General features: G+C 54.7%; 1 annotated feature.

Moving 5' to 3' along the window:
* Nucleotides 142–301: a silencer, noted in NCBI's record as "silent region_19610". NCBI's record gives its function as "represses an Ori minimal core promoter by ATAC-STARR-seq in GM12878 lymphoblastoid cells {active_cell/tissue: GM12878}" and the evidence as "EXISTENCE:reporter gene assay evidence [ECO:0000049][PMID:35858748]".

Raw genomic sequence — 18,109 nt, 5'->3', positions numbered from 1 at the left:
CCGCGTGCTGGGAGACTTGTCCCTGAGGACGCTCCCCGCCAACCCCCAGCCCCCGCCGACCCCCAGCTCCCGCCTCCGCCGACCCCCAGCCCCCGCCTCCGCGGCGCCCACGGCTTGCCTCCACGGGAAGTCGCTGTCTCCGCCTTCAGCGCGGAAGGAGAACCGACGCCTCTCCAGGCCGCGGGCCCCTAGCTAGGCGGGCAACGCCTCCACCGCCGCCGCCACCGCGTGCGCGCCCTGGCGAGCCGTCCCCCACCACGTGGCCCCTGCCGCTCCTCCCGCCGCAGGCAGCCCCTCCGGGATGTGCTCCCAGCCGCTGGCTGTGCTCACTCCACTTCCTGCCTGCCCAGATCGCACTGAGCCGCCAGGCCCGCCAGAGCCCCGCGTGTTAGTTCCCTACGTACCGCAAATTGGGTGTCCTAAAACGACATCCGCCTATTATCTCAAGGCTTCTGTGGGCCAGAAGGCCAGGCTTAGCTGGGTCCTCAGCTCTGGTCAGCCGCTGTGTTCTCATCTGGGGGCTGGACTGGGGAAGGATCACTTCCCACCTCATGCGATTGCTGGCAGAAGTCATGTCCTGGTGCCTGTAGGACTGAGGGCCGGCAGGAGCTGCTCTCAGCTCCCGGGGGCTGCCTGCCAGTCCCTACTGTGGGAGGGTGGGCGGTTCACAGGGTGGCCGCTTCCCCAGGGTCCGTGGGAGAGCCCCACCCCCAGATGGAGTCCTGTGGAACAGAACCTAATTGTGGGTGACATGCCACCCCCTCGGCCCAGTTCTACTCAGATTCAAGTCACAAGTGCCGCCTGTAGCCAAGGGAAGGATGGGCATTGGGCTGGCTCTGGCACATCTCCTTAGGATATCTGCAGCATTCTGCCCCCCCAACACTTCCCATTTCCACTTTCTATATGATTTCCTTATTATATTTATTATTAATTATCCCCCGCTCCCACACTCCCATGCAAATCAGCTCTTGGAGGGCAGCCACCTGTTCTTGTTCTGGGTGCCTGATGTGTGCTGGGCCCTCGTGTCGTGTGGACTGAGTGAGCATGAGTGGAGATCTTAGGTGCTGCTGGTGTCGTGGCACCCTAGGAACTGCCTGCCCCCACCCAGCCCTCTCTCCAACTGCCTCCTGGACTTAGCAAGGTGTTGAAAACCAGGCAGTTCTGCTCCCTCCTCGTCCCACCCCCCTCTCCCATCCTGTTGCTTTTACCTCCCAATGTTTTAAACCACCCACTCTTGTCCAGCCTGCTTCCTCTGTCCCGGCTGCAACCCCATCTCCTCTCACCAGCATTACTTCTGTGCCCTGCCCTGGGGTCTCCCTGCCTTCATTTGGGCTCCCCTGTCCACCCCTCCTACAGCAGCTGGAGGGACTGACTTACCGGGCAAACCCACAGTGGCCCTCCCAGCTTCACGCCTGTCCTGCAGGATGAGGTCTGGGCCCCCTTAGCAGCTGCAAAGGGGCCTGCACAGACTTGCAGGCCGCCCCTCTCACCACCCTTTCCCCTTCCAGGAGACTCAGCAGCAAGTGCTTGCCCTGCCACACAGCATCGGCTGCATGCCTCAACCCTGGGCCTTGAACACCCCCGCTCCGCCTCCGCCTGACAGACCCTTTCCTGCTTTTTAAGACTCCACCTGTTCGAGCTCCTCTGTGCCAGCCCCGGCCTCGCCCCTGCCAGCCTTAGGCCAAGGCTGCGTGGGTAGCTGTCCATACAGGTTACATGCTGCACATGACCCTCGGTCAGGGCTTGTCTTTTTCATCTTTGTATTATCGGGGGCCAACACATAGCCCATAGCAGGTGCCTAATCCATATTTATTGAGCAATTGATGACTGATGGGGCTGGGACAGAGAGAATAAGACTGAGAATAAGAATGGCAGGGTGGGCGCAGTGGCTCATGCCTGTAACCCCAGCACTTTGGGAGGTCAAGGTGGGTGGATTGCTTGAGGTCAGGACTTCGAGACCAGCCTGGCCAACATGGTGAAAACCTGTCTCTACTAAAAATACAAAAATTAGCCGGGTGTGGTGGTACGTGCCTGTAGTTCTGGCTACCTGGGAGGCTGAGGCAAAAGAATTGCTTAAACCTGGGAGGCAGAGGTTGCAGTGATGCTGAAATCATGCCACTGCACTTCAGCTTGGGTGACAAAGCGAGACTCCATCTCAAAAAAAAAAACAAAAGCAAACAAACAAAAAACAAAAGCAGAAGAAGGAGAAAGGTGTCCTTCCCCTATCTCAAAAGAGACAGCCCCTTGCCTTCTAAATGAGCCAGGTGGCCCCTCCAGTCCCTTCAGGCGTGGTGGTGGCTGGGCCGGCCCACCAGAGACTCCATTTGGTGCCAACACCATTGGTATGTGATATGTGGGCAGAGGCTGTTTCCCTGGCCCGGAATCTCCCATTGTCACCAGACCCCCCCGCTCCAGCTACCCTGTAAATATGGAAAGAAGCTCCAAGGGCTGAGGACCCCTTTCCTGCAGAGCTTCCCACAGAGGCAGCCTCTCTGAAGAGGGGCTGGGGGCCCCAGGCTCTGCCATGTCTCTGCTCCTCATTTCTCTCGCACATCCCTGTTTTGTGCCCTGCCTGCGTGCTGCAAAGGCTGGAGCTGCCCGGAAGCCCAGGCCTCTTGTTCTGGGTGGCGGGCTGCCTCTCATGGCTGCCTGGGCACCTCTGGGTCACAGTCCTATGTTCCGATGTGGGAGTCCTATTGCTAGTGAGTGGGGTCCCAGTCTGCTCTGCAGGGGACAGCCACCAGAGAAGAGGACTGAGGACAGGAGACAAACACTTCGGTCTCTTAGCTTAGAGAGGGACAGAGAACTGCTTTCCTCCTGAGTGGTTTACTGTCTGGCCTGTTGGATTGAATGGTGCCCTTTCACTTTTCCCTACTGCCTGCACAACCACCCGGGAGCTTTTCCCTTTTCTTCCTCCCCCTCCCCCTCCTCCCCTCCCCCTCATCCCCCTCCCCCTCCCCCTCCTCCTCCCCCCCTTCTCCTCCTCCCACTCCTCCTCCTCTTCCTGGTGTTTTTTTTGAAGTCATGCCATTTCAACTTTGTCAGAACACACACAGCACATATGGTTCTTCCCCTCTCGACTGCACTTCTCTTTCTATGTTGGGTCTACCATTCAATGTATCACCCCCGTGGGTCTTACGGCTGACCCGTAAGCAGCTTGTGGTTGGAGGAAGCCCATCTAGGAGGTTCCTCCTGATGGGCCTATAGTTGCAGGACCCCTGAGCTCTGGCAAGTTTAAAACTGCTCTCTTGAAGCTGTAATTCCTTGAAGGAAAGCTTGAATGGCTGCACAGTTCGTTGTTTTCTCCCTTTTCTTGAGATTTTTGAAAATGCTGCTTCGTTGTTGCTATGTTCATTTTTATTGATTTTGAGGAGTTTCAGGCCCATCTAATTCTCATGCTCCTGAAAGTTATTTGATGTTTCTGCCTGGAAGCCCTGATTTTTGCAGTATATTATGTAGGGTCCAGCCCCACAGGGTCGGTGGGTTGGGAATTTTCTTTTTCTTTTTTTTTTTTTTTTTGAGATGGAGTTCCGTTTTTGTTGCCCAGGCTGGAATGCAATGGTGTGATTTTGGCTCACTGCGGCCTCTGCCTCCCGGGTTCAAGTGATTCTCCTGCTTCAGCTTCCCAAGTAGCTGGGATTACAGGCATGTGCCACCACACCCGGCCAATTTTGTATTTTTAGTAGATACAGGGTTTCTCCATGTTGGTCAGGCTGGTCTTGAACTCCTGACCGCAGATGATCCGCCTGTCTCGGCCTCCCAAACTGCTGGGATTACAGGTGTGAGCCACCACACCTGGCATTATTTTGGGAATTTTCATAAGCTAAATCATCTTTTCATTTTCCCCTTTCTTTTTATAGTGGTTTTAAATAGATGAAGTTACCCCTTAGCATGTCTGTGGACAGAAGTTTCAGTTATTTTATGAGATTCTTAGTCCAAGAGGGACCTTTCATGTCAGGGTAACAAGGTATGGTTTCTTTACTTAGTGCCTGTTATTTTATTTATTTCTCTATTATTTATTTATTTTTTGCAGGGGGTGAGGGGAGTCAGTGGAGAAGGGTGCTGTGAGGTTTGATTTTTTTTTTCTTTTTTTTGAGATGGAGTCTTGCTCTGTCGCCCAGTCTGGACTGCAGCAGCGTGATCTCGGCTCACTGTAGTCTCCACCTCCAGGGTTCAAGGAATTCTCCTGCCTCAGCCTCCCAAGTAGCTGGGACTACAGGCGTGCACTACTGTGCCCGGCTAATTTCTGTATTTTTTGTAGAGATGGGGTTTCACCATGTTGGCCAGGATGGTCTTGATCTCCTGACCTCGTGATCTGCCTGCCCCTGCCTCCCAAAGTGCTTGGGTTACAGGTGTGAGCCACTGTGCCTGGTCGATGTTTGACTTTTTAAAAAGGTCTTTTGTCTTTCAGCATCTTAATTTCCCCTTCTTGCTTCTTTTTCTCTTTAGTACCTGACTTTCAAAGGCTGCACCTCCCTAACTTTTTTTTTTTTTGAGACGGAGTTTCACTCTTGTTGCCCAGGCTGGAGTGCAATGGCACAATCTGGGCTCACTGCAACCTCCGCCTCCTGGGTTCAAGTGATTCACCTGCCTCAGCCTGCCGAGTAGCTCGGATTACAGGCACCCACTACCACGCCCAGCTAATTTTTTGTATTTTTAGTAGAGACAGGTTTTCACCATGTTGGCCAGGCTGGTCTTGAACTCGTGACCTCAGGTGATCCACCCACCTTGGCCTTCCAAATTGCTGGGATTACAGGGGTGAGCCACTGCACCCGACTACTCCTCCCTAACTTTTAACCCTCTTCTCTCCTGCGTTACCTTCCCAAGACTATCCTCCTGTGTCCCACAGTCTTTTACTATTTTGGCTACCAAGTCTCACTCTGTTGCCTCAGCTGGTCTAAAACTCCTGGGCTCCAGCAGTCCTCCCACCTCAGCTTCCCAGAGTGTTGGGATTACAGTCGTGAGCCGCTGCACCTGTTCCATAGTCATTTTAAATTTCTTTCCAAAATGTAGACACTTTTCTGTATTTTGGCACTCAGATGGACTTTCTTTTTCTGGAAAATGTTTTGAGAGCAACCTCAGGCCCACAGCCAGTTCCTTTTCTCTCTTCTGTGCAGTTTTCCTGGGTGGCCCTTACTTTGTGAAGGTCTGTGCAGGACACTGGAGAGAGAGCTCACTGGGATTTTGTGTTTTCTTTTCTTTTCTTTTTTTTTTTTTGAGACAGATTTTCGCTCTTGTCCGCCAGGCTGGAGTCCAGTGGTGCAATCTCGGCTCACCGCAACCTCCGCCTCCCGGGTTCAAAAGATTCTCCTGCTTCAGCCTCCCAAGTAGCTGTGATTACGGGCACGCACCACCACATCCAGATAATTTTGTGTTTTTAGTAGAGACGGGGTTTCTCCATGTTGGTCAGGCTGGTCTTGAACTCCCAATCTCAGGTGATCCACCCACCTCGGCCTCCCAAAGTGCTGGGATTACAGGCGTGAGCCACCGCGCCTGGCCTGCGTTTGCTTCTTTTTCCCTTTTTAATGCGGCTACGAGAACCTTAGCAGTGACCCCAGGACTGCTGTGCTGAACTCCTGAACCGCAGTGTTCGCTTCTTTACTGCCCAAGGATAAGAGCGTCAGCTCCACCAGGGTGCTTCACAGACAGCGGGCGCTCAGCTAGTGCCTGTGGACTGATTGACTGGCTGACTGATGAGCCCTGGGGTGCGGGTCCTCCTGGGGCCCAGGACTTGCACTGGAACCCCTGTGGGCATTGAGCCTGGGATACCAGCCTCAGTGGGTGACTGAGCCACTGACACTGCCCCTGGAGAGCCCATCGCCCTGGTGCCCTGTGCCTGTGGCATCCTTCTCCGCAGCGGCTGGCACAGGCAACAGCTGTGGCTGAGATCCTCCCGGCATCCTGGGCACAGGCATCAATCACCTAGTTTCGTGCTTGACTCACTGCTGGTGGTGTCTCCACTTTGCAGATAAAACAATGAAGGCTCAGAGGGTTTAAGAAACTCGACAGTGTCAAAGCACTGGGCCTGGACATCAGCACCACTGCTGGCTGTGTGCCTTGGGATGGTCAGTAGATTTCCTGTCAAATGGGGCAAGATGATAGCACCTGCCCTGTGGGGTCATTGTGAAGGCTACGTGAAAAGTCCTCACAAAGCCCTTAGTGCAGTACCCACTTGCTAAACTTGGCTTGTAATTTATAAGTTATTTTAAAATGGGGGCAATGTGCCCACTGGCTGCACCCATGGCCGTCTCGGGAGCTGCCATTGTCAGTGACTGGTGTGGGGCCAATCAGCACCTCTGCCCTCATTTCACTCTCTCTCCAGCCCAAACGTTCAAGGGGCTTAAAGAATCTTCCCACTGGATGGACTGAGCCATCCTAAAACCATCCTAAAACAGCGCCACACTTTTAGAAGCCAGAATCTAACTTTTAGAAGTTAGAAAGTTTTGATTCCGGTCGGGCGCGGTGGCTCACGCCTGTAATCCCAGCACTTTGGGAGGCCAAGGCAGGTGGATGATGAGGTCAGGAGTTTGAGACCAGCCTGACCAACACGGCGAAACCCCGTCTCTACTAAAAATACAAAAAAAATTAGCCGGACATGGTGGCGGGCACCTCTAATCCCAGCTACTTGGGAGGCTGAGGCAGGAGAATCGCTTGAACCCAGGAGGCCGAGGTTGCAGTGAGCTGAGAATGTGCCACTGTACTCCAGCCTGGGCGATAGAGCAAGACTCTGTCTAAAGAAGAAAAAAAAGTGAGTTTTGATCCCAAGGACATTCCAGTCATACTAATGGATCCGTCAGGGTTGCATCAGAGGAACAGAGCCCACAGAGACAGGTGTGTAGACGCAGGCCTGCGCTTTGCTTTGTTCCAGGGCTTGGACCTCCCAGGACTGTGGGGCCTGCTGAGCGGTGTGCTGGAGCCTGGATCCACAGGCAGGCGCCCAGAGTCTCGGACAGCAGGTGGGATGGAGCCAAGGCAGGCGGGTCTGGGTCTGGATTCCAACCCCTGCACCCCACTGCTGATGTGGGCAAGCTCCTCAACTTCAGATGCCCTCAGCGTTCCCACCCGCACGATGTTCAGATGCCCTCAGTGTTCCCTCCTGCACAATGTTCAGATGCCCTCAGCGTTCCCTCCTGCACAATGTTCAGATGCCCTCAGCGGTCCCTCCTGCATGACGGGGTAGGAACAGGATCTCATGGGATCTTCAATGAAGACCAAATGGTGTGAAGATGGAGGATGCCCAGGATGGTGTGGGGCATGGCAGGGCCTAGGGAGTGCCCAGGTCTTCCCTGCCTGGCGGGACAGCTGCTACCTTGGTTTTCACGCCCTTTATGGCATTGGTTCCTAAACCTGCTCATAATCAGAATCAGTTTGGAATCTTTTTAAGAAAAAAAAAAAAAAAAAAAGGGATTTCCAGACATCATCCAAGAGCTGGTCAAACAGAATGCCATTGGGGTTAAGCCTCATAACCTGTAATTTTAGAAGCTTCCCAGTGACTCTGATGATCAGGCAGGGCCTGAGTGGCAGCAGATGGCACAAGCTCCCTGGTGCAGTGGGGCACAGCTCGGGCTGTTCATTTGAAACTCCTAAGAGCTTGGAGAAATGCTGACCAGTCCCCCACCTCTAAGAGATCCCACTGTAGCTGGGGTAGGGGCAGAGGGGCTGGCATCTAGCATCAGCGTTTTGAAAAATCACCCCCAGATGATTCTTGTGTGTGGCCGGGGTCCAGAATCTCTGTTTTGGAGCACAGGCGAGGAGACCGCGTGAACAAGTGAACCGGTGAGGCTTTTGCATGCAGAGCAAGCAAGAGACACAAAAATGTCAGGCCACTAAGCAGAATCATTCTTCCATGAAACCCCAGCTCCTTACCTGTGAGCACATTCCTTAATTATATGTCACACCAATTTAATTGGAAAAATTAACACCCGCCCCTCGGGCTTATAATCTATGACAAGACATTGGTGGTAAATCCATTTATTCTCCAATTACGTAATCTTTCCCATGTTCACCCACTAACGGACTCACTCAGAGGTAACTTATCCAGGGTGGCACAGGCTGGGCAGTAGAGGAAGCTCCCTTCCAGCATAAACCCACTCTCTGAGCTAATTCTAGAACTTACATGGACATACCAAAAGGCTGCAGTTTGTCCAGCTCTTCCACGCTACATTTAAAAGTCCTTTCTCAGGATCATTGCAAGGTTTCTTTTTTCTTTCTTTTTTTGAGACAGGGTCTCGCTCTGTCACGTAGGGTGGAGTGCAGTGGCTCCATCTCTGCTCACTGCAGCTTCAACCTCCCTGGGTCAAGCGATCCTCCTGCCCCAGCCTCCTGAGTCGCTGGGACCATGGGCGTGCAACGGCATGCCTGGCTAATTTTTTCATTTTTTTTTTTTTTGTAGAGACGAGGCCTTGCTATGTTGCCCAGGCTGATCTCGAAACCCTGGGCTCAAGCCGTCTGCCTGTCTCGGCCTCCCAAAGCATGGGATTACAGGCGTGAGCAGTACACCTGGCCAGGGCTTCTTCCTGTGCAAATTATCTGTGTGGATTCTCTGGTGTTGGTAACAGGTTACCTAGACCTGAACGTTTCTGTGAGTTCATTGCACTCACTGGGTGAATGTTCTCCCCTTGGGATTTCACGGGGTTTCTCTGCAGGATGAATCTCCTTACGTGGACTGGGGTCTGAGCCCCTCCTAGGGCACTGCCCACCCATCACATCAGGGTTCTTTCCAGGATGAAGTTTATGATGTTAAGTAAGGCAGGGCAGGCAAGAGGAGCGGGCCCCAGGTAGGGTATAAGGGCATCTGCCGGCCTCAGGCCAGCCCTGGGAAGCAGGTGCATGGCCTGGCTTGGAGAGTCCCCACTTCTCACTGCCCATTCAGTTGAACTCCTAGAAGGGGAAGCCGAGGAGCTGGGTCCGGGGTGGGCAGAGTCCTCTCACCCCACCGCTGGTCCACCTAGAGCAATGGCTGCTGGGTGCCCAAGGAGGCCCCTGTCGAGCTGGTCTTCTGGGAAGCCAGAGAGGAGGATGTGAGGGCTCTGGGACCCGTGGGTCCTAACTAGGGGTGAGGATTCTACTTTAGGGTCGTCAGAAGCCAGTTCTGATGGTCAAAATGAAAATGAAAATGGAAAGACACCATTCACAACATCAAAGGCATAAAGTAACTTGGAGTAAACCCAACAAAACATATGGAGGATCTTCATGGGGAAAATTATACAGTGTTTTTGTGAGACATTAAACAAGACCCAAATAAATGGTGATAAAGCCCAGGCTCGTGAATTGCCTGACTTAATATTTTTAAAATATCAGCTCTCAATTTCACCTTACAGATGCAATGCAATTCCGGTCAAAATCCTAGCAAGACTTTTGTAAACTTGAAAAGCTAGGCTGGGCATGGTGGCTCACATCTGTAATCACAGCACTTTAGGAGGCCAAGGCAGGAGGATCACTTGAACCCAGAATTTTGAGACTAGCCTGGGAGCATAATGAGACCCCGTCTCTACAAAAAAAAAAAAAAAAAAGTTAGCTGGGCATGGTGGCACGTGCTGTAGTCCCAGCTCCTTGGGAGGCTGAGGCAGGAGGATCGCTTGGGCCTGGGAGGCCAAGGCTGCAGTGACCCATGATTGTGCTAGTGCACTCCAGCCTGGAAGACAGAGTGGACCTAGTCTTTAAAAAAAAAAAAAAGTTAAAGAAAAAGGAAAGCTAATTCTAGAACTTACATGGACATACCAATGGTAAGACACGGCAGCTGAGGAACCAACGAAGAACACGGGAAGAGAGTTTGCTCAAGCAGACACAGCCCTTTGGAAGCAACAGTAACTGGCACAGCATAGTCTCAGCACAGGAGCAGAGAAGCAGCCCAGAGGAAGAGTGGGCTGCACACCTGGCAGACACCTGACTGTGACAGTGGTGGGGGAAGTGGGGAAGGGTTAGGCTTCTCCATTCGGGGTGCTGGAACAAAGAACATGTGTCCATGCTTCGCTTCACACCAGCAGCAGCCCCCCTCATTCGCGGTTTTGCTTCCTGCAACCCTCAAGCACCGCAGCATGGCCTCGGGGAAGCCTCCTCGGAAGCCTGAAGGAGGGATGGTGGGCATGCCATGCTGTCTACAGCAGAGGGACTGTCCTGGCAGAGGGACAGACAGCAAATACCATGGCCCATGGCTGTGTTCCCACGCATACAGACATGGCCATGGAGCGTCTGTCCGTGAGGACGCATAGTCAGGAATGTATTTTGGGGGCATATTTCTTTACAACCTTCTGTTTCCCATCTCTCTGTCACCTGGCAGCAGCCAGGACCTGGGACACAGACGCGCCTTTTCTTACAGAGCTGTAACGAACAGCGAATGGAAGTGGTCAGTGAAAACGAAATGGTTCTATTTTAGAACCTGGGGCAAAACTCTTGGCCACTCCTCCTATCCAGAGACAGAACCTCATTCGCCTCCTTGAGTGTGGCCTGGGCTGAGTGACTCACTTCCACAGACGGAATAAAGTGAGGTCCAGACAGAGTGACTTCAGACACAGGTCCCAAGGGGCTCCATGGCGTCCGACTGCTCTCACCCTCTGGTCACTTGCTCTGGGAGAAGCCGGCCGCCATGTTGTGAGGAAACCCAGAAGCCGATGGAGACGCTCATGTAGTGAGAAGCAGCCGCCTGTGGGGCCATCTTGGGAGCCAGCCCCAGACGACACAGCTCCGGCCGACAGCACGGCTGCAGCCCCATGAAGTACCCTGAGCCCGAGGGACCTGCTGAGCTGCTCCTGTGAGCCTGACCCACAGAAGCTTGAGAGAAGCGCTTGCTGTTCCAGCCAGTACATGTCGGGGGAATGGGTTATATAGCAACAGATAACAGGTGCAAGTTCTGTGGCCGTTTTGCAAGCAGTCACACTGGCTTTGGTGAATTGGCCATTTGGATAACCGCCAGGACTATGTTAGTCCTGCACCATGTGCCTCGTAGGCAGGTGCTGTGTGTGTGATCCTGTAATCCTTGTAGGCAGGTGCTGTGTGTGTGATCCTGTAATCCTTGTAGGCAGGTGCTGTGTGTGTGATCCTGTAATCCTTGTAGGCAGGTGCTGTGTGTGTGATCCTGTAATCCTTGTAGGCAGGTGCTGTGTGTGTGATCCTGTAATCCTTGTAGGCAGGTGCTGTGTGTGTGATCCTGCCAGCTCAATATGGTAGGAGCCGTGGACATCATCATTTTACAGATGAAGAACCACGGCTCAGAGAGGGCAGGGGACCAGGCTGATTTGCACAACAAGTAAGCTGTTGAGCCAGCATTGGACATCAGCCCACCTGGCCCTGGAGACCAGTGCTGCCTCATGATTCTCCAAGGCAGAGACCATCCTGAGTATGGTGCATGGCCAAGGCCTTGTCCACACCTGTTCTGTGCAGCTGGCAGAGGTTGGAAGGCCACTGTGCATGATGAAGCACAGATGGCCCCACCATGTTGAGGGGGCTGTGGGTAGGGTTGAGTGTGTGGACCCAGGAGCCAGGCCACCTGTGCTTAGATCCCAGAACTGCCTCAGAATTGCTGTCTGGTCCTGGGCAAGGCACTTAGCCTTCCTGTGCCTCAGTTTCCTCATCTGTAAGATGGGAGTGATGAAGGTCACAGTCATCTCCTCTCAGGGATGTGAAGAGGTCTGTTCTAAGATTATTTTTGTCATAGCTATTATGCTCCTTGGAATCCTCAGCGGGGGTGAGCTGTGATCTTGAGCCAACCAAGCTGCACTGCCCTGGGTCCAGGGAGCCAGCGGGGAAGATACGAGAGTCCAGTGTCTGTAGGGAAGGCAGACACCTGGCCTCATAGTGCCGAGGCCGCCCACATCACAGTCCGGGAGAGACGGGATCCTGGGTAGAAGAGACCTGGGCCCAGGAAGAGATAGACCCGAACCACAGTGCTGGGGGGAGGGTTATATGAGTCCGCCAGAGGTCTCAGCACTGGGGTGCATCACTGTGGAGGAGTGTGGTCAATAGGCAGGGGGTGACTGGACCAGGGCCCCCAGCACCTGAGGGAGGTCTGTGTGATACTAGGGTTTGTGTGTGGCTTTGGGACTGATTTACGAGACAACTCAGCACATGGTTAAGACAGAGCTGCTGTGGCCCTGGTGGTTGTGCAGCGCTGGCTGGGGGTCCCTTGGGAGTGTGTGACGGTGGACCTCACGGATGCCTGACCTTCACTGCACACTCATGTGCACCCAGGGCCCTCAGTTGTAGCTGCTGTCATGGCACAGAGGGAGAACTGGAGCAGCGCGCCCACCTAAAGTGCATGCCAGGAACATGGCAGATCGAAGCCCAGTCTGTCTGGCCTCATGGCCCCAGGGTGTGAGGGCAGAGCATGAAGGTGGATGGCCACAGGGAGGAGAACCCAGCAGCCGGCGTACAGGATCCGCACTGGCTGGGCACTGTCTCGGCCTTTCGTGCGTCCTCCCTGTGTCCAGAGCTGGCCTTCCTGTGGTGGTACCAGGCACACCCTATCCGCTGGGTGCTCATGAAGCTGGTGGCCTGGGCGCCTTCAGGGAAACAGAGGGGAGGGTACCCAGGTTTTCCCACACTAGTTGAAACCAGTCAGTACATACCTATCTTCTGTTTTCTGCAGGGTTTGAGCAAGGGCTGTGCCAAAACACACAATAAAACCAAACCAAACCCAAACTACGACAACATGGCTGGGCACTGTGGCTCATGCCTGTGATGCCAGCACTTTAGGAGGCCAAGGCGGGAGGATCACTTGCACTCAGGAGTGTGAGACCATTCTGGGCAACACAGCGAGACTGTCTCTACAAAAAACACCAAAAAATTAGCTGGGTGTGGTTGTGCGTGCCTGTGGTCCCGGCTACTTGGGAGGCTGAGGTGGGAGGATGGCTTGAGCCTGAGAGGTCGAGGCGGCAGTCAGCCGAGATCACGCCACTGCACTCCCACCTGGGTGGGAAGGTGAGTCCCTGTCTCTGGAAAAAAAAAAAAAAAAGAAAAAGAAAAAAAACAAAACAACAACAATAGCAAAACAGCACACAACCAGCTTTGTTCACACGGAGCTCAATCACCTTGACTTTTCTTCCAAGCCGACTCAGCCTTGAGCTCTCAGTCCCTCACATTCTGCCCACCCCTGGGTCTCCTGGGCCTCAATCCTGACATGTGAGCAAGGGCCTCCTTCTCTCTCTGTTTTTTTTTGAGACAGGGTCTCCCTCTGTCACCCAGGCTGGAGTGCAGTGGCGTGATCTTGGCTCACTGCAACGTCCACTTCTTGGTTCAAGTGATTCTCCTGCCTCAGCCTCCCAAGTAGCTGGGATTACAGGTGCCCACCACCACGCCTGGCTAATTTGTGTATTTTTAGTAGAGACCGGGTTTCACCATGTTGGCCAGGCTGGTCTTGATCTCCTGACCTCAGGTGATCTGTCCACCTTGGCCTTCCAAAGTGCTGAGATAACAGTCGTGAGCCACCGTGCCTGGCCAAGGGCCTCCCTCTCTAGGGGGCAGAAGGGCTGGGGCCTGTGCGCCCCCCAGCATGTTCCCACTCCATGACAGGCCCTCCCTCCAGGGAAGATCTTCAGTGCCCAGGGAGGGCTGATCTGCGCAGAGCCTTCCATGCTCCCTGCCACAGCTTCCCCGCACTGGGCTCCAGGGGTCCGGTGAGCACCTGGCACCCAATTCTCCCCAGGACGCCCACAGGCTCTCCCTCCAGCGGGGCTCCCTGACGCTTCGGACACCTGCTTTTATTAAAAATAGTCTGCCTTTAGTTTTTTAAAAATATTTTATTTTATTTTATGTTTTTTGAGATGGAGTCTCGCTCTGTCACCCAGGCTGGAGTGCAGTGGCGCGATCTCGGCTCACTGCAAGCTCCGCCTCCCAGGTTCATTCCATTCTCCTGCCTCAGCCTCCCAAGTAGCTGGGACTACAGGAGCCTGCCACCATGCCCGGCTAATTTTTTTGTATTTTTAGTCTAGACGGGGTTTCAGCGTGTTAGCCAGGATGGTCTCGATCTCCTGACCTCGTGATCTGCCCGTCTTGGCCTCCCAAAGTGCTGGGATTACAGGCATGAGCCACCATGCCCAGCCGCCTTTAGTTTTCAATTAAAAATTGTAATGAGGTCATTGTCGATTCACATATGGTTGTAAGAAATAACAGAGAGACATTCATTATATGCTTCGCTCGGTTTCTTCCAAGGGTAACCTTTTCTTTCTTTCTTTTTTTTTTTTTTTTGAGATGGAGTCTCACTCTGTTGCCTAGGCTGGAGTGCAGTGGCATGATCTCAGCTAACTGCAGCCTTTGCCTCCTGGGTTCAAGCTATTCTCCTGCCTCAGCCTCCCAAGTAGCTGGGATTACAGGTGCCTGCCACCACGCCTGGCTAATTTTTTTTTTTTTTTTGTATTTTTAGTAGAGATAGGGTTTCACTACATTGGCCAGGCTGGTCTTGAACTCCTGACCTCAGGTGATCCACTGGCCTTGGCCTCCCAAAGTGCTGGGATTACAGGCGTGCGCTACCGTGCCCAACCCAAGGCTATCATTTTGCATAACTTGGTGCAATATTACACCCTCCGCTGTGGGGAGGGGCATCTGGGAGCCCCTGTGGCCACTCATTGGTTCTCTCCATTTCCAGAATTGTGGCTGCAGGGAGCTGTGCAGAGGAAGTTGTCCTGGAGGCCGCCTGTTGAGAGGCCACTTTCACTCCGGAGAGTCTCTGTAGTTCCCCCTGGCGGCTATGCCATTCAGCGGCACCGCCTTCCTGTGGCTGGGCTGTCTCCCCTGGTGCCCATGGAACCAGCTGAACCCTTTGCCATTGAAGGACATCTGGGCTGCTTCCCAGGTTTTGCCTAAAACAAGTAAAGCTGCTGTGAACACTCATGAGCAGGTTTTTGTATGAACATGACTTTCATTTCTCTGGGGCGCATCAGGGGGTCGTGGGAGTTGCGTGTCTAGTTTGATAAGAAACAGCCAAGCTGTCTTCCAGAGCGGCTGCTCCATCGTCCACTCCCAGCAGCAGCAGGTAGGTGACCCAGCTTCTCTGCCTCCCCATCAACATGTGGGGTGGTCATGGTTTATTTATTTATTTATTTGATTTATTTTTATTTTTTCAGATGGAGCGTCTCTCTGTCACTCAGGCTGGAGTGCAATGGTGTGATCTCGGCTCACTGCATAATCCACCTTCTGGGTTCAAGCAATTCTTCTGCCTTAGCTTTCTGAGTAGCTGGGATTACAGGAGCGCACAACCACACCTGGCTGATTTTTATATTTTTAGTAGAGACAGGGTTTCACCATGTTGGCCAGACTGGTCTCAAACTCCTGACCTCAAGTGATCCTCCTGCTTTGGCCTCCCAAAGTGCTGGTATTACAGGCTTGAGCCACCGCATCCAGCAACAGTTTATTTTTTATTTAGCCGTTCTGATAGGTGTATAATGAGATCTCACCGTGAATTTTTTGTTTGTTTAGAAACAGGGTTTGCTATGTTGCCCAGTCTGATCTTGAACTTTGGGGCTCAAGTGATACACCCCCCTCGGCCTCCCAAAGTCCTGGGATGACATGAGTGAGCCATCGCTGCAGCCTCACCGTGGTTCTAGTGTCGGAACGCTGAGGGTGCGTGGTGTCGAACATCTGTTCCTGTGCACGTTTGCCTTCTGCGTGTCCTCGTCAGGGAAATAGCTCTTTACGTCGTTTGTCCATGTTGTAAGTGGGTTGTTTTTGTGCTGTTGAATTTTGAGATACGTTGTGAATAGATCGTAGATTCCAGTCCATTGTCCGCTATGCAGTTTGCAAACATTTTCTCCCAGTCTGTAGTTTGTCTTTCCTTCCTCTTCCCTGGGTCTTTTGTGGAGAAGTTTTTATGTCGAGGAGGTTGTCCTCTGCTGGGTTCCTACCCTCCTCTTGTTCATGGGATGCCCCAGCCGGGAGCTGGGTCCAGGCTTCCTGCACCACCAAAGCGGCAGTGAAAGGGCTCACCCCCGTGAGGTCTCTGCTGCTGGAAGCCTGAGTGTCAGGCAGCGCTCCCACCTCCTGATGTCTGGAAGCCCCTGCACCCCGCGGTATCCAGCATGGAACTAGCTGAACCCCCTTCCCCTCCCACCTGCAGACCCTAGAGGGCAGGAAGCCTTGGCTGTGCCCTGGTCTGAGGCCAGCCTGAAGGTGCATGACCTGCTTCCATGACAGGAGCTGGGGACGCCTCTCTCCTCTGGAAAGGTCCCAATACGGGCATCTCCTGTCAGGGACCTGGGTGCAGGAGCGGTGGCCTCGCCCTGCTTCCTGCAGAGCTGACCCATCCCGGTGACCATTAGCTTCTGCAGACCTCAGTGGTCTCAGGAAAGCGTCCCTAGGGTCTGCCTGGGACCGAAGGCAGAGGTTCCTTCCTTAGGAATTTCCTGCTTTGGGGACACTGCCTCCTTCTCCAGCGAGTTCCCACAGACTAGAACAAGGAGCCGGAGGCCCAGCAGTGGATGCCCGCTTCCTGTCCTGGGGGACAGGAAATCCCCAGGAAGATATCAGATTAAAGCAGATCCCCACATTCTGTCACCTTCCTCTGGGTGAGTGGAGAAGGAGCAGGTGACCCCGGGGAATGGGCGCGGGCTTGGGACATACTTGGTCTGAGCAGGTGACCCGGGAAATGGTGCGTGGGCACGGGACGCACTCGGTCTGGACACGCGACCCAGGGGACGGGGCGTGGGCACGGGACGCACTCGGTCTGGACAGGCGACCCGGGGGACGGGGCGTGGGCACGGGACGCACTCGGTCTGGACAGGCGACCCGGGGGACGGGGCGTGGGCACGGGACGCACTCGGTCTGGACAGGCGACCCGGGGGACGGGGCGTGGGCACGGGACGCACTCGGTCTGGAGGCTGCCATGCTGGAGAGGAGGAGCCCTCAGGGTCTGTGTGGAAGAGGGAGGCAGGCCCTCCCAGACCCATCTAACAGACTCGAGCAGGGTCAGCATGCTGGGCAGGTCCCCCTCCTCTATCCCTGGAGCCAGGCCCAAGTGCCCCTCACTCCAGCTGCAGGTCACGGCCGCCCTGAGCCAGGAGGAAACAGGGTGTTCTCACTGCACTTGCTCCTGGGTCAGGGGCGGTTCAGGGTCACAGGGGCCGGTGCAGGGTCACAGGGGCCAGATGGTGGCCCCAGGGCTGGGTTCTGGGTGGGTGGTGAGCCAGCTGGGGGTGGGGCTCGGTCCCCGTGGGTTTGCTGGTCCCTCCCTATTAAGGGTGCGTAGGTGTGGCAGGGGTGTGTGTGAGAAGCCGGGCCTCGGGCAGACCCCATGCCGGAGGAGGGTCCGAAACACTGTGGGGGGTGGGGACAAGCAAGGAACCAGAACCCGGCTTGGGAAACAGACTGCAATGAGGCAGGGCAGGGGTCGCCCAGCACATGCCAGGGTGTGGCGGCCGAAGGTCAGAAAATCTCCACACCAGTCCCGTGAGATGGGCTTGGTTTTTCCCAGTGTCGTGGACGAGAGACCCGAACACAGAGCGGCTAAATGGCCAGCCTGAGACGGCACAGCTGGCAGGCAGCAGGTCCACACTCCGGTCCCAGTGGGATCTCACTCCAGGCCACACAGGTCCCTTTCTCACCTCGGGGCCCACACAGAGGCGTTGCCCCAGGCTCCAGGCCCCGGAGGTTTCCAGGGAGGGGTGCTCTCTGGACGGGCCCAAGCCCCTGCAGGTGTCGGGGCTGAGAGGCGTGGCCTGGAAGGTCACCAAGGACTGGGGCCTGTGCCTGGACGGCACTCAGAGCAACAGCGAACAGGAGGCACGGGGGCTTGGGAGGAAGCCAGGAGCAGGGTCCGACCACAGAAGGGGTGCATGTCGACTGAGCACCCGCCCCGGGCTCCAGATGCCTTCGAGGGCTCCCTCCATGATCCCACCCAGGGCCCACTGGGAAAGGAAGTGCCCTCCTCATCTACCTGTGCAGGTAGCCTTGGCCACCAGGACAGAAAGGGAAGCAGCAGGATCTGAACCTGTTCTCCCCCCCGCCTCCCTCTCCCCCCCGCCTCCCTCTCCCGCAGGCACCAACACTGGGCACAGGCTGCTACGCTCCAGAGGGGCAGGGAACCCACCGCAGCCCCTGGCGCCCTGAGTGCTCCTTGTGGAAGGGGAGGCAGGTTATGATGGAACGGGAGTACAGAGAGGAGCCCAGCCCACGAGGACCCAGG

This window comes from Homo sapiens, chromosome 8 (assembly GCF_000001405.40).
Source record: "Homo sapiens chromosome 8, GRCh38.p14 Primary Assembly".
Lineage (NCBI taxonomy): Eukaryota > Metazoa > Chordata > Mammalia > Primates > Hominidae > Homo > Homo sapiens.
This window is presented reverse-complemented; position numbering and strand designations above follow the sequence as displayed.